Below are 27,976 nucleotides of genomic sequence, written 5' to 3' on the forward strand. Positions count from 1 at the left end.
GCCAGGAGCAGGAAAGGGGGGCAGGAGGCTTGGAGGCTTGGGCTCCCTTTCCATAGAGATAGAAATAGCTGGGCTCCTGGCGGAGGCGGAGAGCAGTACACACAGGAATGGAGGTGCGAGCAGCCAGCGCCTGGGGCACAGGGTGGGGGTTGTCTTCTTGGGCTTGTCCCGTCATTCTTGTTTGGGAGGGGGAAGGGGAAGGGGCATGTGGTCTGTGGCCCGGAGGGGGCCTGTCCGAGGCCCTTCTTCTCCTTCCTGGGGCCTCCCCATCTGTCTCCCAAGCCTGGCCTGCCCGGGCTCACGGGGGGCATCACAACAGCCCCAGAGCCCTGGCCTCACCTTCCTGCCTCTAGCTTTCCATGAGAAGCAGGCTATGAAGGGGTGGGGTGGGGTTCCAGAGCTCAGGATCATTCTAGCATTTCTAGGGGGTAGTCCCTGGTGGTGCTGGGCAGCTCCGTGCCTGACTCATCTGAAAACACTTTATAAATAACCTGGCAGAGGGACGTGGGCTGTCCACCCCCGTACCCGCCACACTCTGTGAGCAGGTGGCAGCACCGAGGTCCTGAGGGCTTTTGAGATGTCCAGGGCAGGGTTCTGGTCAGAAGCCAGGCCCAGGGGGATGCCGGGAGGGAGTGTTGTCCACCTCTGGTGAATGGCGCTGCGGGGGTTCTGGGCACCATGGAGTCCTCCTCTCAGCTGTGATGTTGTCAGCGCCACAACCTTCGATGGGAGCATTGGGGATTTCTGGCTGGGCAAACTGAGCCACTATGGACTAAAGTTGCTGGGAAACCTGGGATGAGTCACTTCCCTTCTCTGGGAACCCTCATTGGTAAAATGAAAAGGTTGAACTAGGTGAGTACTAAGGTATATTTTTTATTCTCCTTGGTGGGTACAGGTTGGTGTTCCTAAATTAGATACCACAAATATTTACTGAACCCTCATGTCCCTGCACTGTGCTAGGCAGCTCTATGCAATTATTAAAAAAAAATTTTTTTTATTTAGAGATAGTCTTGCTCTGTTGCCAAGGCTGCAGTGCAGTGGTGCGATCTTGGCTCACTGCAGCCTCAACCTCCCAGGCTCAAGCAATCCTTTCATCCCAGCCCCCTGAGTAGCTGGGACTACAGGCGCACACCATTACAGCCGTCTAATTTTAAAAGTTTTTGTAGAGATGTGGTCTCCCTGTGTTGCCTAGGCTGGTCTCAAACTCCTGGCTTCAAGAAATTCTCCCTCCTCAGCCTCCCAAAGTGCTGGGATTATAAATAGGTGAGAGCCACTGCACCTGGCCTTTTTTCTTTTCTTTTTTTCTTGAGACAGAGTCTTGCTCTGTTGCCCAGGCTGGAGTGCAGTGGCACGATCTCAGCTCACTGCCACCTCTGCCTCCCGGGTTCAAGTGATTCTCCTGCCTCAGCCTCTCAAGTAGCTGGCATTACAGTCGCACGCCACCACGTCTGGCTAATTTTTGTATTTTTTTTTTGTTTTAGTAAAAATAGGGCTTTGCCACGTTGGCCATGCAGGTCTCGAATTCCTGACCTCAAGTGATGTACCCACCTCGGCCTCCCAAAGTGCTGGGATTACAGGCATGAGCCACCATGCCCGGCCTCAAATATTTTTTAATAAGGCTCATTTGCTGCTAGTTAGTGCATTGGGTAGGGGCCCATGCCGGTCAGGCCACATCAGGGTCTCAGGCCAGGGCAACAGCTGTATACGTGTCAGTCGTCTGAAGGATTAGCAAGGGAGTGTGGCCACGGCTCAGGCAAAGGCAGAAAACACCTGACACCGAGAGGGAAGGGCACGGTGGGCTCTGATGCTTGTCTGAATTTCCCTCAGCAGCCCCATTCACCAGATGGGCCCTGGGACTCGCTCAAGGTCCCATAGCTGGAAGTGATGGGGGCCCTGGGAGGACCCAGGTGTTCTGATTTCAAGCCCGGTTTCTTGGGAGGAATGCTCATTGTTTCTATATTCTCTATTTGGAAATATCTCAAGTAGACACGATGGCACCAGGAGCAAGAGGCCACTGGGCAGAGAAGGCAGGGTCCTGCGTGTTCCTGATCAGGCCTGCTCTGGTCTCAGGCTGGGGAGGACACTGTGTCCTGGTGCTCGGCGGTGTCTGGCACAGATGGGCGTGTGTGGGTGGGGCAGGAGGAGGAGCAGTTACCCGCAAATGGAGCCTGCGTGCTGGACACGGAGAGTCTCTCCCTTGTCAGGCCTAAGGGGACACCAGGAGCCCCCCGGGCAGGAACAGTATCTGGGCGGCCAGCGGTTGGACACAGGGCTGCAATAGGGTCTGATTTTGTTCCTGAGGAAGAAGAGACATTTGACTGGTCAGCCACAGAGGGCAGACGAGGATTCTGGACGCAGATTTCAGCGTGGCACAGCCTGTGTACTCACTGCTGGGGCACTGCCACCTGTGAGGTGATGAGCTCCCAGTCCCCCGATGAGTGGTCTTCTGTGAGGGTGTGGAGGAGGGGACTCCATGAGGGAAGGGCTGGATTAGGCTGGTGGTCCCCAACATGGCAGCACATCAGAATCCCTGGAGGAGTTTGCTTATGGTACAGATCCCCGAGTCGCCCCCCGAGCCCCCACTAGATAGGACTCCCCAGGGATGAGCTGCACAACCTCCACGTCAGGCCTTCAGAGGCTGGGGCTCCATTTATCCCAGCCTCCCTTACCCACCCCTGAGATACGCTGTTGAGGTTTCAAGCACAGTGCAGCTGCACATGTAGTAGCAGTCCATAGACAGAGAACAAACGGCAACCTCAGGAGACTGCGGATTCAGAGCTTAGTCAGTGGATTTGGTGGCTGCACACAGCTTGGACAATGGCTTCCCTGCAGGCCACTCAAGAGACTGATGTCAGGTGTCATGCCTTTGGGGATTAAGATGCTGAAAGGGTTTTGATATCTTTCAAGGGAAACAGAGCTACAGGGCCTTCAACAAGCTGCTTTGCTCCTGCGGTCAGTCCAGTTCAACAGTAGTCTCTGGCTGGGTGCGGTGGCTCACGCCTGTAATCCCAACACTTTGGGAGGCCGAGGCTGGAGGATTGCTTGAGGCCAGGAGTTCAAGACCAGCCTGGCCAACATGGCAAAACCCCATCTCTACTAAAAATACAAAAATTAGCAGGTGTGGTGGTGCACACTCGTAATCCCAGCTACATGGGTGGCTGAGGAACGAGAATTGCTTGAACCCAAGAGGCGGAGGTTGCAGTGAGCCGAGATTGTGCCACTGCATTCCAGCCTGCGTGACAGAGCCAGAGTCCATCTGGAGAAAAAAGAAACAAAAAACAAAAAACAAACGTGGCCCCTGATGAGGGGGAGCCTGGTGCAGTAGGAAGAGTGCGGCCAGGGGCAAGTCCAAAGCCTCCTCCTGTCTCGCTGTGTGACTTTGAGCTAGTGTCTTACCCCCTCTGGGCCTCTCATTTGTAAAGTGAGGGCGTTGCACCTTCAAATCCTCCCTGACCTGGCATGTTACAATACCTTGAGTGACCAGGATCTGGGGTGTTTGCCTAGTGACTGGCATCAAATGTTGTTCTGACCTGTTCCTTGCTGTGGCATCTCCCCTCCTTAGTTACTTGTTTCCCACTGTCTGCTGGAAGTGTGGCTGTCCTGGCTAATCAGGCAGGAAGGCCTGGTAGCAATGGAGGCAGGGCAGTTGGTGGGCGGGAAGGAGTGAGCACGTGGACCTTCCAGGCAGTGGGGCCGGCCAGGGGCAGGGTTCCAGGTCCCAGGGCAGGGGAAACTGCCAGGAAACTATAGGCCCTGCCTCAGAGAGAGGACTGGGGCCAGAAGTGGGGGATTCTGGCTTAGTACACTAGCCCTTGAGGCCCATGAGGCCTCCCAAGAGCACGGTGGACAAGTGTAATGTATAGGATACTCCTGGGGTTAGGGACGGGACAGGCAAGGAGACATTAATGCCACATCTTGAGGGCACATTCAGGGCCAGGCATTGCATTTGTACAATTTCCAGATTTCACAAAACTCATGGGAGTGGATATCACTTGCCTCATTTATAGACAAAGATAGGAAGGCCCATGTTAAATGATTTGCTCATGGCCACACAGCCAGTGAGAGGCAGAACGGGATGTGAACTCAGGTCTGGCTGATTCTAAAATGCACAGGGCTCCCTCTGCATCGTGCACCTCCTCCTCTGTTACAAGCATCGTTCTTCTGAAGCTCAATGGCACCCATCAGCTCAAGGCTCTGCGTGTATCTGTCCAAGGTCAGGGGTACGTGCACAGAAATGGACATGCATGAAGGAAGTGTGACTCAGAATTAAATTGCAACAGAGAAATTTAAAATCACCTAGGCCAACAGAGTGTCAGCAGGATTTGAGCCTGAGACCTGTCAGGTTGCAAAACTGATTGCTGGGGAAACTGAGGTTGATGAGCTCCAGCCCCCGGCCATGCGCTCACATGGTATGTGGGAGGCCAGCTGCGCAGTAGTTGCAATGCCTCATATTTCTGGGGAGGTGGCCATGAGCTGCTGTGCTGGAGGCAATCAGGGAGGGGTCCCCCAAAGGGGCAAAGTTTGAGTTGTCTCTCAAAAGATGGGTTGAAATTCACATGCCAGTTAGGTATGGGAGAAAAGAGTTCTAGGCAGCTGGAACAGCATATGAAAAAAATCAGAGGCCTGGAAGGATGCGTGGAGTTGGGGAAACTGGGAGTAGCTCCCTGGGGTGGGAGGCTGGGTGCAGGTGAGAAGGGAGGTGTGGGAGACGAGGCTGGGCAGAGGAGCCAGAGCGTGGGCTGGATTATGGAGGGCGTGTATCTGTGTGACCTTCTGACTTTGGCCAAGCCTCAGTTTCCTCAGCTATAAAATGGGAGAAATAAGGCCGTCTGTCTGTACAGGTTGTTGTGAGATGTAAACTAGACAGTAACAGTGAAGTGGGTGGCAGTGAGCCTGGTGCAGGGGCAGTAACTGGCTGTTGCTGCTATAGTTGGTGATGGTGATGGTGATGGTGATGGTGATGGTGATAATAATAACTGGGTTTCCCAGTTTTCTTTCATCTGTTCTCAACACAGTAGCAAGAGTAGTTCTGTTAAGACATATGGCAGATAATATCCTTCCTTTGCTTACAAGCCTCCAGGGACTCCCCTTTCATGCAAGGGAAAAGCCACAATCCTTGTGACAGTCTTCAGGCCCTGCCTGACTTGATTTGCCCCTTAGCATACTCCCTGTGTTCCCATGCTGCTCCCTTCCTGTCACTCTGCTCTAGCTGCTGGCCTCTTCACCATGCCTGGAACTTGCCAGAGTACTCCTGCCTCAGGGCCTTTGCACTTGCTGCTCCTGCACCTGGAATGCTCCTCCCCAGGTGTCCGTATGGCTTGCCCTATCTAGCCTCCTTCAGGTCTTCAATCACATGTCACTTTTTTTTTTTTCAGACAAGGTCCTGTTCTGTCACCCAGGCTGGAGTGCAATGGTGCAATAATGGCTCACTGTAGCCTCAACCTCCTGGGTTCAAGCAATCCTCCTGGGTTGGCTTCTTGAGTAGCTGGGACCACAGGTATGCGCCACCATGCCCAGCTAGTCTTTTAAAATTTTTTGTAGACATAGAGTCTCACCATGTTGCCTAGGCTGGTTTCAAACTCCTGGGCTCAAGCAATCCTCCTGCCTTGTCCCCCAGAAATGTTGGGATTACAGGCGTGAGCTACCATGCCCAGCCACGTCACCTCTTTAGTGAGGTCTTTGGTTGTGCTGCCTAAAATTGCAAACTGCCCCCTGGCCCTTGCCAGCACCCTGCCCCCCCTCCCCATCTTTCCTCCCTCTTCTATATCCCTTCTAAGTGTTGATCACCTTCTAGTTTATTATGTATTTGTGTTGCATTGCTTGTTACTCCCGTTAGAACATAATGAGAGCAGGGCCCTTTGCCTGTCTTTTGCCCCACGGTATCTCCAGCGTCTAGCTCAGAATTGGTGCTCAGCAATATGTTATTATTTTTTATATGATCTCTGGAGGATAGGTTGGGCCAGCCCCCCCCGCTGGTGTGGCTGGGCCATGACCAGGATCCTCTAAGCTTGCTGTGCTTCTTAGGAAAGGCGTTTCCTGCATCCCTCCCGTCTCTTCCACAGGAGCCCCGGAGCTGCAGGATTCCTGCTGACAGCCTCTCCCACCTGCAGTCATCCCACTGATTTCAAAATGCAGCCCCTCTGCTGGCTCTGGGCTCCCTCCCTGCCAGAAGCTCAGTGAGCATCGCGGGAGGATGGCTGGCAGCCTGTGTGCCATCTCATTCCGGAGGAATTTCCCCAGTTCCCAAAGCAGTCCAGTGCCTGGGGGCCCTGGAGCCTGGGTGGCCTGATTTAGATCCTGGGAGCAGGGCCCCAGCTGCAGTCTTCCCTAGCCAGCCGAAACTCCTTCTGCCAGAGAGGCCTTCTCTCTAAAAGCTCTCTGGCCTTGTGCATTTCTGCCCCAGGGAGCTGTTCTTTCTAGATCACTGGGCTGCACCCAAGTATTGGAGTAAGGTACCGCAGTCACTCAGTCACTCTGCTGTACCAAGCTCCTCTTTCTTTAGGCACACCTCCTGGAGCACCTGCAGGTGTCTCTCAGACCCCCTCCCCTCCCAATAGTCCCAGCCTCATCCCCTGTCAAACCTTGTTGGCCCATGTCCCACTTGCTTATAGCCTGGCCTGTTGGAGTGACTGACAGTCCGATACCTTCTCCATTTATTGTGTCCCTCTGGGACCTTCAGGAGACAACAGTGCTTTCATTCAGAGGAGTGGCAAATGGAATTGCAGGCTGGCAGTGGTGGGATTTTGGAATAGGCTGGGCTCCAGTCTCTGGATTCCCACTAGAGGAGTGGAGACTCCTCTGAAAAGAGGACAAGATCAGGTATCAGATAGACTGGAGTTGGAATCCTGACTTTCCTACTTGGATGTGTCCTCTTGGGGAAGTTCCTTGCCCATCTGTAGAAGGGGTGTAGCAGAGGTACCACTCCTCCCAGGATGGCTGGGGGGACTAAGTGAAATGATGGATATGAGGCCCTTGGCTTGGGGCCTGGCACAGAGTAAGGGTAAACAAATGCGAGTGGTTTCCTGCTGCACCAGGATGTGGGTCAGGTCTTCTCCCTGCTGAGTGCTGAGCCATCAATGGTACCCAGCTATCCCAGGGCTATCTGAAGCAATGCAGGAGCCAGCTGGTCCCCTAGAACCTGCCCTGGGCACAGGCGAAGCCTCCTCCTCCTGGGATCCAGCATCTCTCTGGCTGTGGCTCTCCATGCAGAACCTGTTTCTCCCACCTTGCTCTTTCTGTCTGGGCAGTCAGGGCTGATGAAGCTGGCCACCCTGGAGCCATAGGGAAGTCTCTGCCTGTTGTGTTTGGTAGATCCTCTGGCACTCAGTGACTTCAATTTCACAGACCTCTCGAGGATCCTGATTTCCTGCTCTCTTGTTTGTAAAATGACTCAAATGAGGGACAGAAACCCAGACACACATGAACAGCTAGAACGCAGGAGAATTTGCAAATCTCAGGGTGTCAGGCCTGGGAGAGCCCTGAGGGTCATGAGGCCCACCTGCCTCTGTCAATGATGGAGAGCCCGAGGTCCAGAGAGGGCCTGTTACCTGTCACAGGTCACACAGCTTGTAAAGGACTGAGCTAGGGTTCAAACCTGGATTTCCTGACTCCCCATCCATTGCTGTCTCCACTGCACCCCACCAGCCTGAACAGTGTGCTGGGGACCCCACAGGGAACCCCACTTTCATTTCCTGCCTCCATGTCTTGTCCCACATCCCCATACCGGATCAGGTAGAAAGTCACAGGGAGCAACTCACGTGGGGATTGGTGAGGATCAGGATGGTCTCTAATTCCAAATGGGCCGGTTACAAGAACTTGCTGACTGCCTCCTCTCCACGCCTCTGTCCGTGCTCTTTCTGTAGTCTGGACTGCTCTCCTCCCAACTCTGCTGGTCAAAATAGCCTTCTCACACCTCCCAGGTCCCATACCTACCAGCTCCCACACCTCCCGGATCCCACCTCTCCCAGGTCCCACACCTCCCGGATCCCACACCTCCCAGGTCCCACACCTCCTGGATCCCACACCTCCCGGATCCCACACCTCCCGGATCCCACACCTCCCAGGTCCCACACCTCCCGGATCCCACACCTCCCGTGTCCCACCCCTCCCAGGTCCCACACCTCCTAGATCCCACCCCTCCCAGGTCCCACCCCTCCCAGGTCCCACACCTCCCAAGAAGCTTTGTGCAGAAAAGGAAGGACTGTACACTGTTCCTTTGTTCCCCATATAGCACTTTGTTTATGCTGCTTTTATCACATGGTTTCTTATGTTTTCATTGTCGGCTGAAGGAAATGCCCCTTCCCTGCTTTCATTCTAAGACATTTGGGAGCCAAGTCAGTTTCAGAGGCTACAAGACAGGGAGCCAGGAATCACCTGTGTCCCGACCAGAACACTCAGGGGGAGGAGCTTCTCTGCTGCTGAGGCTTGGCTGGCCTGGCTTCCTCCCACCTGGTCAGACTCTCATCTTCCCTCGGTTTGTGGGAAGTGAGTCCATTCATCTCTGAAATACTCTTAACAGGCACTTATAAACTAGACATTGGGTCCTTCTGTAAACCTGTTCTGGCACAGATGCTTACAAAAAAACACTCATCTCTCCAGTAGGGTCCTGAGGCCAGATGGCCTTGTGCCCACGGTGCCAGTAAAAGGCTGGAGTTTGGTTGGTTTTCCCTGCCTAGAAAATAAAGGAAAGGAAGATGTGGCACCTGCCTAACCAGCCTCTCCTGCTGAGGGTTTCCAGTTCTCAGAAATCTCACACTGTTATGAGCTATGATGTCTGAGCTGGGGCCTGCTATCACCTGCACTTCCCAAGCAGCTCCTGCAGGAAGTTGGACCTCAGAGCCAATCAAAGCCTTGGGATTCCAGGGATCTGCCTGTATCCTCCTTCTAGCATGGACCAGATATCCTAGCAAAATCCAATGAGTGGCTCCACGCAGATTTTGTAGCTGACACTTAATGCCTTCTTCCTGTATACCCGGCACTGTGACATGAGCTTATATGTTATCACATTTAATCATCCTGATAGCCTTATAGCACAGGTAGTATTGTCACCATTTCATGGATGCAGAAATTGAGGCCCTGGGATGTTGAGCCATGTGCCCAAGGTCACACACAGCTAGAAGGCTGCCAGCTGGGACTGGAATCCAGCTCTTGCTGACCAGAAAGGCTGTGCAAATGACCATTGCACCACCCTGCCATCAGATCACCTCTGCCCCCTAACACCTGATCCCAGCTTTCTAGAATAAGGCCAGTGTACTCGTAGAGTCTCCAGGCTTGGCTTGGCTTAACATCGGCTTAAATGCCATCAGTGTGGGACTCCACTCCTTCCATTAGGAAACTGCTGTCCAACCTCAGAGCTTTTGCTGGGAGAAAATGGTTCCTGCCACTAGGCCTAAAATTCCCAGGGATTCATCTCATGCCATTTTGCATAATTATACCCTCTCATGTTATCCCCAATACTTCCCCTCCCTCAAAGGCCTTCACACCCCTTGGAGCCTTGCATGCAATTATCCTATTTTGCTTAACTTGGCAAAGCCCAGAGTGTGCGTCTTTTCATCTGTTATAATTATTCCATTTCCCTTGTTCCTGCATTGTTTCAGATATTTCATCTCTGAACACCCTCCAATTGCAGGGTACCCTCTGGAACAGTGGTTGCCAAGAGCCCAATGCTGCAGTCAGGAAAGATCTCATTAGGAGCAGATGGAGGGAGGGAACATCCCCACTGGGCAGGGGTTGCCCAAGCTGCCAGTAACAATGCCATCTGGAGGGTCTTACCTCCTCCCTTCCTGGGCATCCAGGACTGCCCAGACGCTAGTCTGAAGGCAGAAGGGGCTTTCCAATTGCTCTCCTGGGCACAGAGGGTGTGGATAGACACCTCTCTGAGCGGGGACATGGGTCTGAGTCTGTCTGCATGTCTCTTGTCTCAGCCTTCTTTCACTACTCTAGTTCAGCTGTTCGTTTATTTAACAAACATTTGTCAAAGACCTGCCATATGCCAGATCTACAGCTGGGCAGTGGGGATGCCATGGTAAATATAGGCATGCATTCCCTGCCCTCAGGGGACATATGTTCCAGTGCATGGGAAAGACAGTAAGCAAGCAAAGCAGCTGATGCATATGGACAGTTGAGGCACAAGGAGGGCAAATGGCAGAGTCCAGGGAAGGAGAGTAACAAGGGGTCCCACTGAAGTGGGGTGGTCAAGAGGGGCCTCTGAGCAGGTGGCATTGAAGCTGAGACCTGAAGATGGGAAAGACCCTGCTAGGGAAAGATGTGGGAGGTCGGTTTCTGAAAAAGGTGACAGGATGTGCAAACCCCTGGGCAGGAGAGTCTTGGCTGAGTAGAAGGATGGATGGAAGGGCAGTGGGCATGAGCTGAAGCTGGAGGGCCGGCAGCCCAGACTGGGAGGAGGTTACATATGATTGCAAGTAGCTGCCTCTCCCACTGACTTGCTGTGTGGCATAAGCAAGTTAATAACTTAGGTCTTCTCTTTGGTAAAATGGAGAAGGAAGGTCAGGCGCGGTGGCTCATGCCTATAATTTCAGCAATTTGGGAGGCTGGGGCAGGAGGATCACTTGAGGCCAGGAGTTTAAGACTAGCCTGAGCAACATAGCAAGAACCTGTCTCTATGGAAAATAAAAAAAAAATTAGCTGGGTGCAGTGATGTGAGCCCGTAGTCCAAGGTACTCAGGAGGCTGAAGTGGGAGGATCACTTGATCCTGGGAGTTCCAGGGTGTAGTGAGCTATGATGTGCACTCCAGCCTGGGTGACAGTGTGAGACCCTATCTCTTAAAAAGAAATGGAGATGGTAATTCCCCCTCCCTAAACGTGTCAGGAGGCTTCAGTGGGAAGCCGGGCTGCTCCAGGCCCAGGGCAAGCCCTGTATGCAGGGAGCAATTCTTTTCTTTTGTTCACCACTAGTTCCTTAAGGAAAAACATCCTCATGTCTGGCTGTCTCTCTCCATCCCACTCCTGTCCACCATCCTTTCCCTCCCAAATGCGAGGTTCTCCCCATTCTAAGTGACACCCAGACAGAACTGGCCAGACTTTAGCCATAACACATCTAGTTGTCTCAACTCCATGTTGTCTGAGCTCTGGCGGTCCCAGATGGTGATGCAAAGGGCAGGGCTTCTGCCCCCACAGTGGGCTCGCAGGTGTGCCTTCATCTCACTTGCATTCTCTCTCCTTTTTAATTTTCAAATTGTTTTAATTAGTTATTCAGTGGGTACGAAAGAATATTTCTGGCATCTGTGTAAAGTATAAAGAATGAGAACACAGCGAACACCAGTGTACCCACCGCTCAGTTTAAGGAGAGCATTTCTTTCCCATTTGGATTTCTGCGTCTGCGTCTCCCCAAGTTTGCCTAGAGCTAATCGCTTTCTTGAATTTTGTGTTTATCTTTTTATTTCTTTTCTTTATAGTTTTGCACTTATGTTTATATACCCAAGTAACATATTGTTTTAGTTTCTGCATGCTTTGGAACTTTATGTAAATATAAACACAACCACACTGTATGTATCTTTCCTTTGCCTTTTTTGTTCAACCTGGTTTTTCTGATATCCGTGTTGTAACTTCTTTGTTGTTGTTGTTGAGATGGAGTTTCACTCTTGTCCCCCAGGTTGGAGTGCAATGGCTCGATCTTGGCTCACTTGAACCTCCCTGGTTCAAGCAATTCTCCTGCTTCAGCCTCCCGAGTAGCTGGGATTACAGGTGCCGGCCACAACGCCCCGCTAATTTTTGTATTTTTAGTAGAGATGGGGTTTCACCATGTTGGTCAGGCTTGTCTCAAACTCCTGACCTCAAGTGATCTGCCCACCTCAGCCTCCCAAAGTGCTGGGATTACAGGCATGAGCCACTGTGCCCGGCCAGTTACTGTTATATAGTTATTCTATTATGTGAGTAGATCACGATATAATTATTCATTTTCTGACCTAAGGATGTTTGGGGTTGTTTTCAGGTTTTTTCTTTCACAGTGCTGCTGAGAACATTTTGGTTTGTAACTGGACCCACAGATGCAATGGTGTCGATCTAAGAGTGGAATTGCTGGGTTATGGAGTAAGGCTAAATTGTTTTCCAAAGCGGCTGTACCTGCTGATACTCCCGTCGGCAGTATAGAAGTATTCCTGTTGATCCACAGCCTTCCCAGCCCATGGTTGGTGTCTTTTTAAGTTTTGTTGATTTAGAGGGTGGTATCTCATTGTGGTCCCCCTCAATGTTCCAGTGCATTCTTCAAAGCAGCCATTTTTTGTCTTTGCCAAGGTTAAGGTTACTCTCTCCTCTTCAGAGTCTGTTTCCAGGCCCACCCTCTACCCTTCTTGGCTATGGCAGAAAAGGATGCAGCCTTCCTTCTCTCTCAAGCCTGGGCTCTTTTCTCTCTAATGTAGGAGCCTACTTCTCCCCTTCATCCCCATCATCTCCAGTGTCCCCATATTTATGATTTCCAGATTTCATAAATGAGTAGTGTGGTAGGTAGTGTTGGTCACATATCCAATCTCTGGCTATGTTCAACCTCTTCTTCCTTGCCTTCCTCTTCCTATAGAGTCTGAAAATGCTGGAGAGCTTCCTGGCTGCCCTTGCAACTAGACATGGCCATGGGACCCGGTTCTGGTCAATATGATACAAGGGCATGTTTACTGGGAGGCTTCTGAGAAAGATTTATCTCCCTGAAAAAAGGAAGTAGGTTCTCCCTCCTTCTGCCTGCCATGGATGTTTATATATGAGAACATGATGTTTGGAGCTGCAGCAGCCACCTTGCAACTCTGGGCAGTAAGTCCGAGGACAAGAAGCCAATGTGCTCAGGATGTAGAGAAAGGATGAAAAAGGCCTGGATTCTTAGGGACACTGGGGGCCAGTGAGCTCATTCTGGAGCTGCCACCCTATAGACTGCTTGTTATGTTAATCAGATGTCTTTATTGCTCAAATGATGTTCATAGGATAATCTATTTGCAGCCCCAAAATCCTGACTTTGGCCTTTGTAGTGATTTCTCTGTCTTGCTTTTTCTGTCATTCTGTTCACTGTACTTTTTGTACAGTGTACATCCTGTTCTTTTTGTACTCCAAATCGCACTCTCTAAAGACTCAGTAATGTAATTCCTGCCAATCCAGTTCCTCCTGAACTTTCTATAATACCTGACACTGTTCATCCACCTTCTGGAGGGCTTTTCCCTCCTGGGCTTCTGTGATGCTCCAGGGTCCAGGATCTCCAGCTGCCATCGTCTTTTTCTCCTTACACTGACTTCTTCTCTCCATGAGCTACTTTTGCTGAACACCTGCTACAGACCAGGAGCTGAACATGGTTCTTTCCAGAGGTCATTTTACTCCCTACAAAGCTCCTGTGACTTCGGTATTATAATTTCCACTTCACAGATGTGGAGCCTAAGCTCAGAGATGGTAATTAACTCATCTACAGTGATGGAATTAGTAAGTGACACAGCTGGGATTTGAACTGAGGTATCTTCAACCTCAGTTGAAGATCTTGCCCAAGGCTAGACAGCCAGTCTTTCTCATAGCCCTTTTTAACCCTCTCCTGAGGTCAAATGACACATTCTTATTGTATTAGGCCATTCTTGCATTGCTATAATAAAATACCTGAGACACGGCCTGGCACAGTGGCTTGTGCCTGTAATCTCAGTACTTTGGGAGGCCAAGGAGGGCAGATTGCCTGAGTCCAGTAGTTCAAGACCAGCTGGGCAACATGGTGAAACCCTGTCTCTACAAAAAATACAAAAATTAGGCAGGTGTGGTGGCTTGTGCCTGTGGTCCCAGCTATTCAGGAGACTGAGGTGGGAGAATCATTTTTTCCTGGGAGGTTGAGGCTGCAATGAACCATGATAGCACCACTGCACTCTAGCCTGGGTGACAGAATGAGACCCTGTCTTAAAAAAATACCCGAGACTGGGTAATTTATAAAGAAAAGAAGTTTAATTGGCTCACAGTTCTTCAGGCTCTACAGGAAGCGTGGTGCTAGCATCTGCTTGGCTTCTGGTGAAGCCTCAGGGAGCTTTCAATCATGGTGGAAGGCAAAAGGGGAATAGGAATGTCACATAGGTGCCATACACTTTTAGACAGACAGATTTTGCAAGAACTCACTCACTACTGTGAGGACAGCACCAAGAGGATGATGCCAAACCATTCATGGAAATCCACCCCCATGGTTGAGTCACCTCCCACCAGGCTGCACCTCCAATACTGGAGATTACAATTCAACATGAGATTTGGGTGGGGACAAATACACAAACGATATCACTCATTGCATCAATTCTATAGAGCCCTCCCAAGTTTTTCCCAGTCTTTTTTTTTTTTTTTTTTTTTTTTTTGAGATGGAGTCCCTTCAGTCCTGAAAAACCACGAATGCTTCTCCTCTCCCCTTACATCTGCCATGTGTAATTCTCACCTGGTCTGCCTTTGTGGTTTCTGACCACAGCATCTTCCAGCCATGGAGATGGATGGGTCGTCCTTCATTCTTTTGTCCACCCCTCCCTTCTCCATCTCATATACTCAATCAGAAGCAGCAGCCCTGGGTGACCACACTGAAAATGTTTCTTGCATCTGTCCCTTTGTCCTCACTCCTAGGCCATGCCCCATGCCCCACCACCTGGTCCTTCCCCTTCTCATCCACCCCCAAAACTGCTTCCAGATGGATGGTTCCAATACATTGCTTTCCTGATGCCCTCACATGCTCCCATTGCATATATGGCCCCGTCCTGGCTTTCATGGCCCTTCATGATCTGGCTCCAGCATTGGTTCTTGACAGAGTAGTTCAAATCCACCAGCATGGGCTGCTGTTTCCAGACATATCTTCCCCTTTCTTAACTTCCAGCTGCCCACTCTCCACCCCCACACTGTCTAGCATCTTCCTTCCCTAAGCATAAAACACCTCATCTTTCGTATCTACCTCTAGTCCTATGGGTGAGGGGAAGACTTCTGTTACTAGACTGCTGGGATCTCTCCCTGCTCAGCTTTCCTATAACTCTTGCTGTCTCTATAGGTCCCTGGGGCACCTGTTAGATGCTCACTTTGTCATGGTGTCTAAGCCAGATTTCCCAGACAAGACCATACAGTTCTTTATGATTGGAACGATGCCTCTCCCTATCTCAACCTTGGGGAACTGAATGGAGATGTTCCCTTTCCTGTAAGTCAACTCAACTGCCTATATAAATATTAACTGAGCATTTACTATGTTCCAGGTTCTATTCTAGGCACTGGGAATGCAGATGAGGAGACAAAGTTCCTGCCTTCAGGAGTTTATGGTGTGATAGGGAAGACAAACAAATAAATTGTAGAAAGTATGACTTATTATGGGGAAAGTATAGGGTGCTCGTAATAGGGGTACACATGACCAAGGCCAAAGTGACAGGAAAGCCTTAATCCCAAGGAAGGAAATTGTAAATCGAAACTAGAAGAGGTTTAGCCAGGTGAAAAGGCAGGTGAAGAGCAAGGAATGTTCCAGGTAGAGCACATGTGAAAGCTCAGAAGTGAGAGAGCACAGCACATTTGAGAGAGTGGAAAATCAGTCTACTCTGGCTGTGGCTGGCATGGAGTGTGTGTAGAAGAGAAGTGGTGAGAAGGGCTGGGGGTGGTGGTGTGTGGGGGCCAGATGGGCTGGACACAGGAGAGAGAGGAGTCCTGGGTGTTGTAGTCTTGGTGAGGAGGGATGGCACTTTTTTTTTTTTTTTTTTTTTTTGAGGTGGAGTCTCGCTTTTTCACCCAGGCTGGAGTGCAGTGGCACGATCTCAGCTCACTGCAACCTCCCCTTCCTGGGTTCAAGTGATTCTCCTGCCTCAGCCTCCTGAGTAGCTGGGACTACACGTGCACACCACCACACCCGGCTACTTTTTGTATTTTTTATAGAGATGGGGTTTCACCATGTTGGCCAGGCTAGTCTGGACCCTTAGCCTCAAGTGATCCGTCTGCCTCGGCCTCCCAAAGTGCTGGGATTATAGGCGTGAGCCACCGCGCCTGACCCCAGCACTTTTTAGCCAAGATAACTTTAGGTCCAGGGGAGTATCAGGAGCCCAGCAGGAGGAATAGATGACGTGGAGGCAGGGAATGGTGAAATGGCTGCTAGAACTCGGAAGACTATGGAAATGTTCCAATTGCCGGAACTTGCCCTGTGACCTGGGCAATGGTCAGGAATTCCAAAACCTCTAAGGAGTTTACCAGGCAAAGCATGGTAGGATAGAAACCATGAGAGAGATGTCTAGAAAGTCCTGTGTTTGGGAGTGGGATGGTTCAAGAAAGGCTTCCTGGCCCTGATGGACTTCAAGATGCGTCTGCAACATGGGACTGATAGTGCTGGGCATCGGTGTGGTGAGAATGGTGTTCTCTCCTTCCCGCCAGTGCCCAGAACAGTACCTGGAACATAGGAGATGCTCAGTCCTAGCCTGTGGCTAAGAGCTTCTGGCTCTGGGGCCTCTGGTGGCCCAGTTACCCCTGGGACCTCTGGTTCTCCTTTCCACAGCAGCAACTGACCTTGGGAGAGTGAGGTTGGCAAAGGCCATTTCCTCATCATTCATGTCCTTCCCAGTCTCTACCAAGCTAAGCAAATAGCTACTTTCTTTCCAAGGTAATTGGACCAATTTGTCCAAACATGGAAAGCCAATAAGTGGGTCTGAACTGAAGTCTTTATCTATTATGGCACCACACCTATTGTCTAGAAATTTGTATCATCTACAAAATAAAATTTTCATTTATACGCCCTCCCACAGAACAAATCAGATATAAAATGATTGATTCTAACAGTATCTCAAAGAAGCTCCCTTTCCAGAGAACTCTGCTTTAATCAATTCAACAAATATTTATTGAACCAGACATTATTCTAGGCATTTGGGATACATCAGTGAACATAGCAAAGATCCTTACCCAAGCTTGCAATTTAGCAGGCAAGACAAACAGAAGACATAATAAGTAAATTATACAGTTTTCTAGAAAAGGTGATGAGTGCTACAGAAAAGGATTAGAAGGGGGACTAAACAGAGAGTTCTGTTTTCCATAAGCCAACCTACCTGAGTGGGAAGGAGGATTGGGAAGGACGGGAGGGAAGGAAGAGATAGGACACAACTTCTGTGTTTTACTGCCCGCATAAGCCTTTGTCCCTGGTTGGAATTTTAAACTAATTGCATGTATTACTTTGATAAAAATTAAGTTTAAATAGTGACATAACTATATTGGGAGGGGAGGGCAGCGGTGTGACCCAAGTTCTCTTCTGTCACTGAAGAAAACAGGACAGTTTCTAAAGTGAATAAATCATAGAAGTACCGGTATATAGGTCAGGCGTGGTGGCTCACACTTGTAATCACAGCACTTTGGGAAGCCGAGGCAGGCGGATCACTTTAGGTCAGGAGTTCGAGACCAGCCTGGCCAACATGGTGAAACTCTGTCTCTAATAAAAATACAAAAATTAGCCAGGCTTGGTGGCACACACCTGTAATCCCAGCTACTAGGGAGGCTGAGGCAGGGGAATCACTTGAACCCAGGAGGTGGAGGTTGCAGTGAGCCAAGATCACACCACAGCACTCCAGCCTGGGCGACAGAGCGAGACTCTGTCTCAAAAAAAAAAAAAAAAAAAAAAAAAAAGTACAGGTATATCATTAGAAAGTAAAGATCATTATCAGAAGAATTTAAAACAGAAACCACGAAAAGAGTGAAAAGTCATTTCTTCTAGAGGAAAGAAGACAGAGTGGGAAGGCTCAGGACAGAGCTGGTGGGGGACTCTTGCCTTTTTAAAATAAGTCTTGCTGTATGTTTGGGTTTTTAAAATCATAGGCATGTGTTACTTTAATGATTAGAAAAAAATCTGCTGAGCCCTTGAGGGGGTCCACGGTGATGGGAGGTGCCTTTGGGACTTCTGCAGGGAGTGGAGGGTGGTAGAGCAAGCAAGTTCTGCCGCATTTCCTCCAAATCCACTTTCTTTTATTTGTTTTATGTATCTGACTTTCATGCGAGACTTTGAACAAAGGGTTCTGCAACTAAAATTGGTTCGAACTCTATGATCCCTTTTGGCTCTCGTAATTAATGATGCTTTATAAGCACCTGTTACCCTTTGTGCTCATGTCTATTTACTTCCTGAAATAATTTCCTTAATTTAGCCAGAAGCCTTGCAATCTGCCCCCAGTTGGCTATGGTTTGAAATGATTGGTGAGTTTGCTGCCAGTTTGCTCGGTGTAAAAGTGAGACCTTGCAGTAGGTCATTCCTGATTGCTACTTCAGAGGGCCTCTGGAGCCACTGTTAGAACAAAGGTCCGGTGGGCATTCTGTCTGGCCTCCAGCACAGTGGCTATTGTAACAACAGGTAAACATTTTGGCCAATAATTCCCCAATGTCATCTCAGTATCTGCAGTCTCTCCTGTGCAGCTGTGAATCTGCTTATAGAATCTACTTATAGAACCTTGCCTCCCACTCCACTTCCTGGAGATGGGGAAGAGAGAGAGAGAGAGAGAGAGAGAGAGAGAGAGAGAGAGAGAGACTATGAATGAAGTTAGGAAAGGGAGGGAGGGAGGCAACTCCCCTTTCGCTTAGTCACCTCCTAGTGACTCCACTTCCAAACATGTGTCATAGTCAGCCTGCCCTTGTTCTATTTTTAGGGCAGGTCCACTCCATTCATGTTTCTGGGGCCTCTGCAGTTGTTGCTGTGTCTGCCTGGCAGCTGCTTTCTTGAATTTGAGGTTCCAGAGGTTTTGTGTTTCCAGGCACCTTTCATGCATCCTTGCCTTTGCACACTGTTTTTCATCTGGTGTCTGGGGATCTGACACTAATCCCTGAAGGCCAAGCTCAAATGCCACGTAGTTAGTAAGACCTTTCTGGGCCCCCAACTGTGGAGAATCTGTCTCCACCTTAGCACTTATCACAGACCCTGGCCATCACTTGATTATATTTTGTGTCCTTAGGGGGTTGGAAACATCCCATGGTCATCTCTCTGAGGCATACAGTGGGTGCCTAATTAACTACTTGCCGAGTGAAATGAAGCATGTTTGCCGATATCTCTTCTATGCTTTAGGAAATCCCACTGGGCCTGGAAGAAATGTCAGTGTGGGAAGATCTCTCTCAAGGCATCACCATAAATCTTTTCCTGTTTTCCTCTTGAAAGACAAGATTTGGAAAAGTCAGGTAACATCTAGAGAAAGCCTCTAATAGCCCTCTCCCTCTCCCTCTCCCTCTCCCTCTCCCTCGCCCTCTCCCCTTTCCACGGTCTCCCCTCTCCCTCTCTTTCCACGGTCTCCCTCTCACGCCGAGCCGAAGCTGGACTGTACTGCCGCCATCTCGGCTCACTGCAGCCTCCCTGCCTGATTCTCCTGCCTCAGCCTGCCGAGTGCCTGCGATTGCAGGCGCGCGCCGCCACGCCTGACTGGTTTTCGTATTTTTTTGGTGGAGACGGGGTTTCGCTGTGTTGGCCGGGCTGGTCTCCAGCTCCTAACCACGAGTGATCCGCCAGCCTCGGCCTCCTGAGGTGCCGGGATTGCAGACAGAGTCTCGTTAACTCAGTGCTCAATGGTGCCCAGGCTGGAGTGCAGTGGCGTGATCTCGGCTCCCTGCAGCCTCCACCTCCCAGCCGCCTGCCTTGGCCCCCCACAGTGCCGAGATTGCAGCCTCTGCCCGGCCGCCACTCCGTCTGGGAAGTGAGGAGCGTCTCTGCCTGGCCGCCCATCGTCTGGGATGTGAGGAGCCCCTCTGCCTGGCTGCCCAGTCTGGAAAGTGAGGAGCCTCTCTGCCCGGCCGCCATCCCACCTAGGAAGTGAGGAGCGCCTCTTCCCGGCCGCCATCCCATCTAGGAAGTGAGGAGCGTCTCTGCCCGGCCGCCCCGTCTGAGAAGTGAGGAGACCCTCCGCCTGGCAACTGCCCCGTCTGAGAAGTGAGGAGCCCCTCCGCCCGGCAGCTGCCCCGTCTGAGAAGTGAGGAGCCCCTCCGCCCGGCTGACACCCCGTCTGGGAAGTGAGGAGCGTCTCCGCCCACACCCCTTCCGGGAGGGAGGTGGGGGTCAGCCCCCGCCAGGCCAGCCGCCCCGTCCGGGAGGGAGGTGGGGGGGGTCAGCCCCCCGCCCGGCCAGCCGCCCCGTCCGGGAGGTGAGGGGCGCCTCTGCCCGGCCGCCCCTACTGGGAAGTGAGGAGCCCCTCTGCCCGGCCGCCACCCCGTCTGGGAGGTGTGCCCAGTAGCTCATTGAGAACGGGCCATGATGGCAATGGCGGTTTTGTGGAATAGAAAAGGGGGAAAGGTGGGGAAAAGATTGAGAAATCGGATGGTTGCTGTGTCTGTGTAGAAAGAAGTAGACATGGGAGACTTTTCATTTTGTTCTGTACTAAGAAAAATTCTTCTGCCTTGGGATCCTGTTGATCTATGACCTTACCCCCAACCCTGTGCTCTCTGAAACATGTGCTGTGTCCACTCAGGGTTAAATGGATTAAGGGCGGTGCAAGATGTGCTTTGTTTAACAGATGCTTGAAGGCAGCATGCTCGTTAAGAGTCATCACCACTCCCTAATCTCAAGTACCCAGGGACACAAACACTCTGCCTAGGAAAACCAGAGACCTTTGTTCAGTTGTTTATCTGCTGACCTTCCCTCTACTATTGTCCTATGACCCTGCCAAATCCCCCTCTGCGAGAAACACCCAAGAATGATCAATTAAAAAAAAAAATAAATAAATAAAATAAAATTAAGCCAAATTGCAATCTAAAACTAACTTTTTTTAAAAAAATGTTTTAATGGGAACAGAAATGTTAAAACTCACAGTAGAACAGAATTTTAAAAATAGTAATTTTAACAATAAATTTGTTTTCATAACCATAAAAAAAAAAGAAAGCCTCTAATATTTGGATGAATTCTATCTGGGAAGGGAGAATTATTGCCACCATTTTACAGATCAGAAATCAGAGGCTCAGAGAGATTGAGACTTGCTAATGATTACATAGTAAATAGGAGAGCCAGAGGTTGAAACCTATGTCATCTGACTCCAGGGATGCCGTTTCCTACCACATACTTCCTAGTAGTCTCCGCAATGTGCCATGAGATGACATTGTTTAAGGCTTTCCAGACCACAATTTCCCCCTCAAGCATTCATGCAATTGTTTTCCATCCAGACCCAAGTGCTGAGAATTTCCTCGTCTCCCCTGCTTTTTCTTCATCTCCCTGAGGTTTGCTAGCTCTTTCCCTGGCTTCTCTGCCGTCTGCAAGAGTTCGTTTTTCTCTCATCTCTTTCCAGCTATTATGATTTCCAAATCTTTCAGTTGGTTTCTTTTTCCGGCTGTGGTCCTTTATGGGGAGGCTTTCCAATGCAGCCGCAGATTGGAGGATGATAACACTGAATGTTAGTGGATCTTCTTTGATGTTATTTTGTGGGTGAACTCATTAATTTATGATAAAAAACATCAAAGAGCTAGGCTCTTGCATAGGACTAGGTTGTCCCAAGGCAGCTGGATAATAATGATTAGTCAGATTAAATCTCAAAGAGCTCTCTGCCTCAAATATAGGAGTTAAAGTCCAGATGACTGCATTTGGGAACATCCCATCCTCTAGCATCTCATCACAGCCTTGAGTCAGCCCAACATGGAATGCTGCCCACTCTGAATGTGGGTCTCTCTCTGTGGCTTCCACTTTGAGGCCTCTAAGACTTGAGGTCTGTTGAGATTGTTACAACCCTGGAGGCAATGTAGGGGAAATAGGGTGAGGCTGTGAAAGCCTCTTTCCCACCAGAGGAGCTAGATATTAAAAGGGATCATTTGTCCTTGCATGAGTGATCTCAAAGCTCTCTATAGACTCTAGTCCTGTGACGTCAATGGGGAGAACTCTCTCTGGGCTAAGTGCCAGCTCCATGCTTGGCACGGAGCAAGCTTTCTATAGGTACTGGCTGAATGATGGACCAAGCTTTCTAGAGGTAATGGTTGAATGATGTGTGAAAAGCCGTTGGCTAGTTGAAGGGGAGCAGGAGTGGAGCTCAGGTTTTTCTTTATGTGACAAAACCTCCTAACCAGCTCCCATCTGTGGCCATTTACTGTGTTTTTTTTTATTGTTATACTTTAAGTTTTAGGGTACATGTGCACAATGTGCAGGTTAGTGACATATGTATACATGTGACATGCTGGTGCGCTGTACCCACTAACTCGTCATCTAGCATTAGGTATATCTCCCAATGCTATCCCTCCCCCCTCCCCCCACCCCACAACAATCCCCAGAGTGTGATGTTCCCCTTCCTGTGTTCATGTGTTCTCATTGTTCAATTCCCACCTATGAGTGAGAATATGCGGTGTTTGGTTTTTTGTTCTTGTGATAGTTTACTGAGAATGATAATTTCCAATTTCATCCATGTCCCTACAAAGGACATGAACTCATCATTTTTTATGGCTGCATAGTATTCCATGGTGTATATGTGCCACATTTTCTTAATCCAGTCCACTGTGTTTCTTTCGCCTCTGTGGGAAATTGTCTGTGCTCCTCTCCTGAGCCATCCCCTCTCTGTTTGCCCTGTGTCCCATTCTCTGCTGGCCTGTTAAGGGCTTGCTCCTGCAATTAACCCTCTCTTTTCTGAATCATCAGTGTTTCCCTCTCTACTAGATGATTCCTGTCAGCAGACAAACATGCCCTAATGTCTTCCCTCTTGAAAGGAAACTCCCTTGCTTCCATGTCTCTCTCAGACCCCCATGCTAGTCTTTGCTTCCCTTTGCAGGAGAAAGAATTGTCTACACTCTCAGTACCTCTCCTCTCTCTCCTCCATGCTAACTCTCAAACCCACTTTAATCAGGATCTTATCCCTGCACCACTAAAATGGCTCTTGTCAAGGTCACTGGCGAACCTTCTTGCTGCCAAGTCCAGTAGTCATTCCTCAGTCCTCATCTTATTCCACCTGTGAGCAGCATTCAACATGGCAGGCAAGGCTCTCTTTCCAGCCTTCTTTGCTTGGCTCCAGGACACCGCCCTCTCTTGAATCTCCTCCTACTTCACTGGCCCCTCTTCTCAGTCTTTTGTCTTCCAGCCTGTCAGTGACCAAGTGTCCTGAATCAGTTCTTGGACAGCTTTTCTAGCTATGCCTACTCGCTCGATGATGTCTCTAGTCCCATGGTTTTAAATGCTATCCACATACTGAAGGGTCCTGAAGTTATATCTCCAACTCCTCATCCTCCCTTATAATTTGCTTATAACATGCACATCAAACTTCAAACCTAAGTGAACAAAACACAACCAAAATGCTGTGTTCTCTATCCCTTCAGGCCTGCTCAGTCCCTAGTCTTCCCCTCTCAGTAGATGGCCACTCCTTTCTTCTGATGGCTCAGATCTCAAGACTTAGACTCATCTTTGACGATCTCTTATTTATTTATTTATTTTGAGACAGAGTCTTTCTCTGTCCAGGCTGGAGTGTAGTGGCACAATCTCGGCTCACTGCAACCTCCACGTCCTGGGTTCAAGTGATTCTCCTCCCTCAGTCTCCTGAGTAGCTGGGTCTACAGGTGTGTGCCACCATGCCTGGCTAATTTTTGTATTTTTAGTAGAGTCAGGGTTTTGCCATGTTGGTCAGGCTGGTCTTGAACACCTGATCTCATCTCAAGTGATCCACCTGCCTTGGCCTCCCGAAGTGCTGGGATTACAGACATGAGCCACCATGCCCGGCCTGCCTTCTTTATACCACACATCCAATCCATCAGAAGATCCTCTCAGCATTACTTTCAAATTATATCTAGAATCTAGCCACTTTTTCCCACCTCTACTGCTACTACCAAATTCTAAGCCACCACCACATCTTCTAAGCCTGGGCTGCTCTAACAGTCTCCTAATTGGTTTTGCAGCTTCTAGCCTTGCCTCCCCTCTGACATCCAGTGGAATCTTTCAAAAACTGCAATTAGATGATGTCACACCCCTACGCTAAACCTTCTTAGGCTTGCCATCTTACTTTATGAGTAGAATCTGAAGTCTTTATCAGGGCCTACAAAACCCTGGAAGACCTGATTCCTGCTACCTCTCTGAGCTCAACTCCCAACTCTCTTCCCCTTGTTCACCTCAGGTCTAGCTACACTGGTCTTCCAGCTATTCTTTGTTTTTATTATTATTATTTTTGGGGACGGAGTCTCACACTGTCACCCAGGATGGAGTGCAGTGGTGTAATCTCGGCTCACTGCAACCTCCGCCTACCAGGTTCAAGTGATTTTCCAGCTTCACCCTCCCAAGTAGCTGGGATTACAGGCAGCCACCACCATACCTGGCTAATTTTTGTATTTTTAGTAGAGATGGGCTTTTGCCATGTTGGCCAGTCTGTTCTTGAACTCCTGTCCTCAAGTGATCCACCTGCCTTGGACTCCCAAAGTGCTGGGATATAGGTGTGAGCCACTGCGCCCAGCCTCCTGCTATTCTTTGAACATACCAAGCCCAGTCCTGCGTCAGGGCCCTTGGATTCTGTCCTCTCTGCCTTGTCACTCTTCCTCCAGGTATCTATATGTCTAGTTCTCTCTCTTCCTTCAGGGCTCTACCCAAATTTCACCTTATCAAAAAAAGTATTCCCTGACTATTCTTTCGAAAATAAGCCCTCTCTATCACTATCTCCTTACCATATCTTCTTCCTAGCAGTGATCACACTTTTCTTCCTAGCAGTGATCAAAACTTGACATATTTTACACATATTTGCTTATGTCATGGATTGTTACCCCCATTACTATATAAGTTCAATAAGGACAGAGGCTTTGCATTTTTAGTCACGACTGTATCCCAATTTCCTAGAAGAGTGCCTGATACACAGTAGGTGTTCAACAAATAGATGTTGATGAATGGATTTGTTGAATGGCCTCATCCAGATATCTAGTCATCAGGTGAAGAGAATGGTTTCCAGAAGGTTGTCTAATTGATGTGATAAAAATCAAGTGGGAGGAACTGTGAAATTTACATGGAGATCATCAGATTATGTGTTCTTTTATTACCAGTGACCACTGCAGGATTCATAGATATTCTGTTTGGTCCTTTATGCCAAATCCTATGCCAAACTATAAGGTAGAATGAGACACCCGCCTTTAACTTCTTTAGCATGTCACTTACACTCTGGGACTCAGCGTTTTCATCTGCAAAATAGGCAGCTGGAGATGTGGTCATTGCTCTGCTAGTCTATGGTCTACCAGATGCTGGAGGGAGGCAATACAGTTAGGAGGATCAACCACACAGGCTCTGGAGCTTGACTGCCCATGTCTGAATCCTGTCTCCATTCCCCACAAACCCTATGACCTTGGGCAACTTACTCAGTTCCCTCATTTATAAAGTGGGAATAATAAAAAGATCACAAGAACACAACTCAAAGAGTAATTGTGAGGATTACGTAAGATCATACATGTAAAGTGTGTAGCATATGGGCTGGCACATGGTAAGTGCTCACTAAATGTTAGCTACTAAAAATGAAAAGTTCTGGGAAAATTTTTGAGGGGTCATCGCTATTAATGTGTTTTAGGGGTGACAAACTGTTCTAGAATATTAGATAATATGGGCATTTTAAAAGCATGATAATTGGCTGGGTGCGGTGGCTCATGCCTGTAATCCTGGCATTTTGGGAGACTGAGGTGGGCGGATCACCTGAGCTCAGGAGTTTGAGACCAGCCTGGCCAACATGGTGAAACCCTGTCTCTACTTAAAATACAAAAATTAGCTGGGTATGGTGGTGCGTGCCTGTAATCCCAGCTACTTGGGAGGCTGAAAATCACTTGAACCCAGGAGGCAGAGGTTGTAGTGAGCTGAGATGGTGCCACTGCATTCCAGCCTGGGTGATAGAGCAAGACCCTATCTCAATAAAATAAAATAAAATAAAGCATGAGAATGGTGTTGTGCCTAGTTGGGATAACGCTTTTCTTCTTGGGAGATGCATGGTGAATTGAAGTACTTACAGATAAAATCTCATTGAAGTACTTACAGATAAAACCTCACGATGTCTGTCACCTTATTATTATTATTATTATTATTATTTTTGAGACGGAGTCTCGCTCTGTCACCCAGGCTGGAGTGCAGTGGCGCAATCTCGGCTCACTGCAAGCTCTGCCTCCTGGGTTCATGCCATTCTCCTGCCTCAGCCTCCCCAGTAGCTGGGGAGTAGCTCCCCAGGTGCCCACCACCACGCCCGGCTAATTTTTCTGTATTTTTTAGTGGAGACGGGGTTTCACCGTATTAGCCAGGATGGTCTCAATCTCCTGACCTCATGATCCGCCCACCTCGGCCTCCCAAAGTACTGGGATTACAGGCGTGAGCCACCGCGCCCGGCCACGATATCTGTCACCTTCTGATAATCTAGGCAAATATAGCTCTGTTTTCATATCTATCAATAAAGCAAATGTGGCAAAAAGCAATTGTTGGAGCTAGGTAGATGGCATAGTTTATTGTACTATTCTTTCAACATTTTGGTATGTTTAAAAATGTCAAAATAAAAGGTTGGAGAAAAAACAAAAGGTCCTAGAAACAGTCTAGTGAAATCCAACACTCACATTTTACAGAAAGAGAACCATAAGCTCAGAAAACAAGACAGTTGCTCGAGGTTATACAGCTGGAAAAGCCTGGGCCAGGTCTCTTGGCCGCCAGGTTCTCCCTGTGTGTGGGCTTCAGACTCTCAGGCAGCAGTGAGCTGCAGAGGAGCACACCCCACCACCCCTCAAAGAGACCAAGGGGTATTATGGGTATGTAAAAAGGCACTTGTGTTGGTGTTTCCTTTTTTTTATGTCTATTTTATTTATTTATTTATTTATTTATTTTTTGAGACAGAGTTTCGCTCTTGTCGCCCAGGCTGGAGTGCAATGGTGTGATCTCAGTTCACTGTAACCTTTGCCTCCCGGGTTCAAGCAATTCTCCTGCTTCAGCCTCCTGAGTACCTGGGACTACAGGCGGGTGCCACCATGCCTGGCTAATTTTTTTTTGTATTTTTGGTGGAGATGGGGTTTCAGCATGTTGGCCAGGCTGGTCTTGAACTTCTGCCCTCAGGTGATCCACCCGTCTCGGCCTCCCAAAGTGCTGGGATTACAGGTATGAGCCACTGCTTCCGGCCTTATTTTTATTTTTTTAAGAGACAGGCTCTTGCTCTATTGCCCAGGCTGGAGTACAGTGGCACAATCATGGCTAGCTGCAGCCTTGAACTCTTGGATTCAAGTGATTCTCCTGCCTTAGCCTTCTGAGTAGCTGGGACCACAGGCACACATCACAACGCCCGGCTAATGTTTTCATTTTTTGTGCAGACAGGGTCTTGCCCAGGCTGGTCTTGAACTCCTGGGCTCAAGCAATCCTCCCACCTCAGCCTCCCAAAGTGTTGGGATTACAGGTGTGAGCCACTGCACCTGGTCTCCTTTTTATTAAACAAATAGATCATTTAGTTGGAATTTATGATGTCAAAAGTGCGAAGGTGGCACCAGAGCCAGACCTGCCATCCTTGGAGAGTGAGCATACCGGTTTGGCACCATCTGCTTGTGGTTTTTGAGTGGTGGTGGTAGTGGTGGTGCGTGTATGTAAACTCGGGTTGCAGAGGAGAGAGGGAAGAGTAAAGGGTGGGGACCAGGTCCAGGAAGAGCAGCAAGGAGAGACTGGCTTCAATTCTGGAGCTGCCTGAAAGAAGGGACCCCAGGCTATGGCTGAGAACGAAATGTGGGCACGTATTTAAAGAAAGGAAATGATTCTCTGCGGTCGGCAGGATCTTTGTCTAGCTAGTGGGGTTCCAGGAAGTGCAAAGGAGAGGGGAAAAGAGGGGCCGTCCGTGCAAGCCTGACTGTGTGTATATGGGGGGGGGGCACACAGAGAGGAAAAGGGAGAGAAAGAAAAGAAATTATTCTAAAGAGGAAGCTGGGGGCGGGGCGAGGGAGGGGTAGAGCCGGGGCACTGGGGGTGGCTGGAAAGGTAGAGAGGCCTCACCTGCGGGCCTGCGAGCGGCTCGGGAGCGGTCAGCCTTGCAGGCTGAAGCGTCTTGCCCCGGAAAAATTCCTGCCCCACTGTCCTTCAGGCTGGATGTCCCGGGGGCCACGGAAGCGAGCGCAGAGCTCCGGGGCTCTCACGAGGGGG

General features: G+C 49.5%; 2 long non-coding RNA genes across 2 annotated transcripts, besides 2 other annotated features; one reads left to right on the plus strand and one right to left on the minus strand.

Moving 5' to 3' along the window:
* Nucleotides 1–60: 60 nt before the first annotated feature.
* Nucleotides 61–19,596, plus strand: LOC107984260 (uncharacterized). Its single transcript, XR_001747563.2, has 3 exons — nt 61–852; nt 18,989–19,098; nt 19,564–19,596. It is a non-coding gene; the product is annotated as an uncharacterized LOC107984260 (long non-coding RNA).
* GOLGA7B-DT (GOLGA7B divergent transcript) lies at nt 6,642–27,962 on the minus strand. The gene is made up of 3 exons (NR_108035.1): nt 27,830–27,962; nt 7,758–7,885; nt 6,642–6,798 (listed from the first exon to the last, which is right to left on the minus strand). It is a non-coding gene; the product is annotated as a GOLGA7B divergent transcript (long non-coding RNA).
* Nucleotides 18,038–19,237: an enhancer, noted in NCBI's record as "CDK7 strongly-dependent group 2 enhancer chr10:99599631-99600830 (GRCh37/hg19 assembly coordinates)". NCBI's record gives its function as "activates an origin of replication core promoter dependent on BRD2, BRD4, P300/CBP, MED14 and CDK7 cofactors, with strong dependence on CDK7, by STARR-seq in HCT116 cells {active_cell/tissue: HCT116}" and the evidence as "EXISTENCE:reporter gene assay evidence [ECO:0000049][PMID:35650434]".
* Nucleotides 19,738–20,680: an enhancer, noted in NCBI's record as "NANOG-H3K27ac-H3K4me1 hESC enhancer chr10:99601331-99602273 (GRCh37/hg19 assembly coordinates)". NCBI's record gives its function as "activates a minimal SCP1, AML or CMV promoter by ChIP-STARR-seq in naive H9 embryonic stem cells {active_cell/tissue: H9 hESC(naive)}" and the evidence as "EXISTENCE:reporter gene assay evidence [ECO:0000049][PMID:30033119]".
* Nucleotides 27,963–27,976: the final 14 nt, after the last annotated feature.

Source organism: Homo sapiens, chromosome 10, assembly GCF_000001405.40.
Source record: "Homo sapiens chromosome 10, GRCh38.p14 Primary Assembly".
NCBI classification, from domain to species: domain Eukaryota; kingdom Metazoa; phylum Chordata; class Mammalia; order Primates; family Hominidae; genus Homo; species Homo sapiens.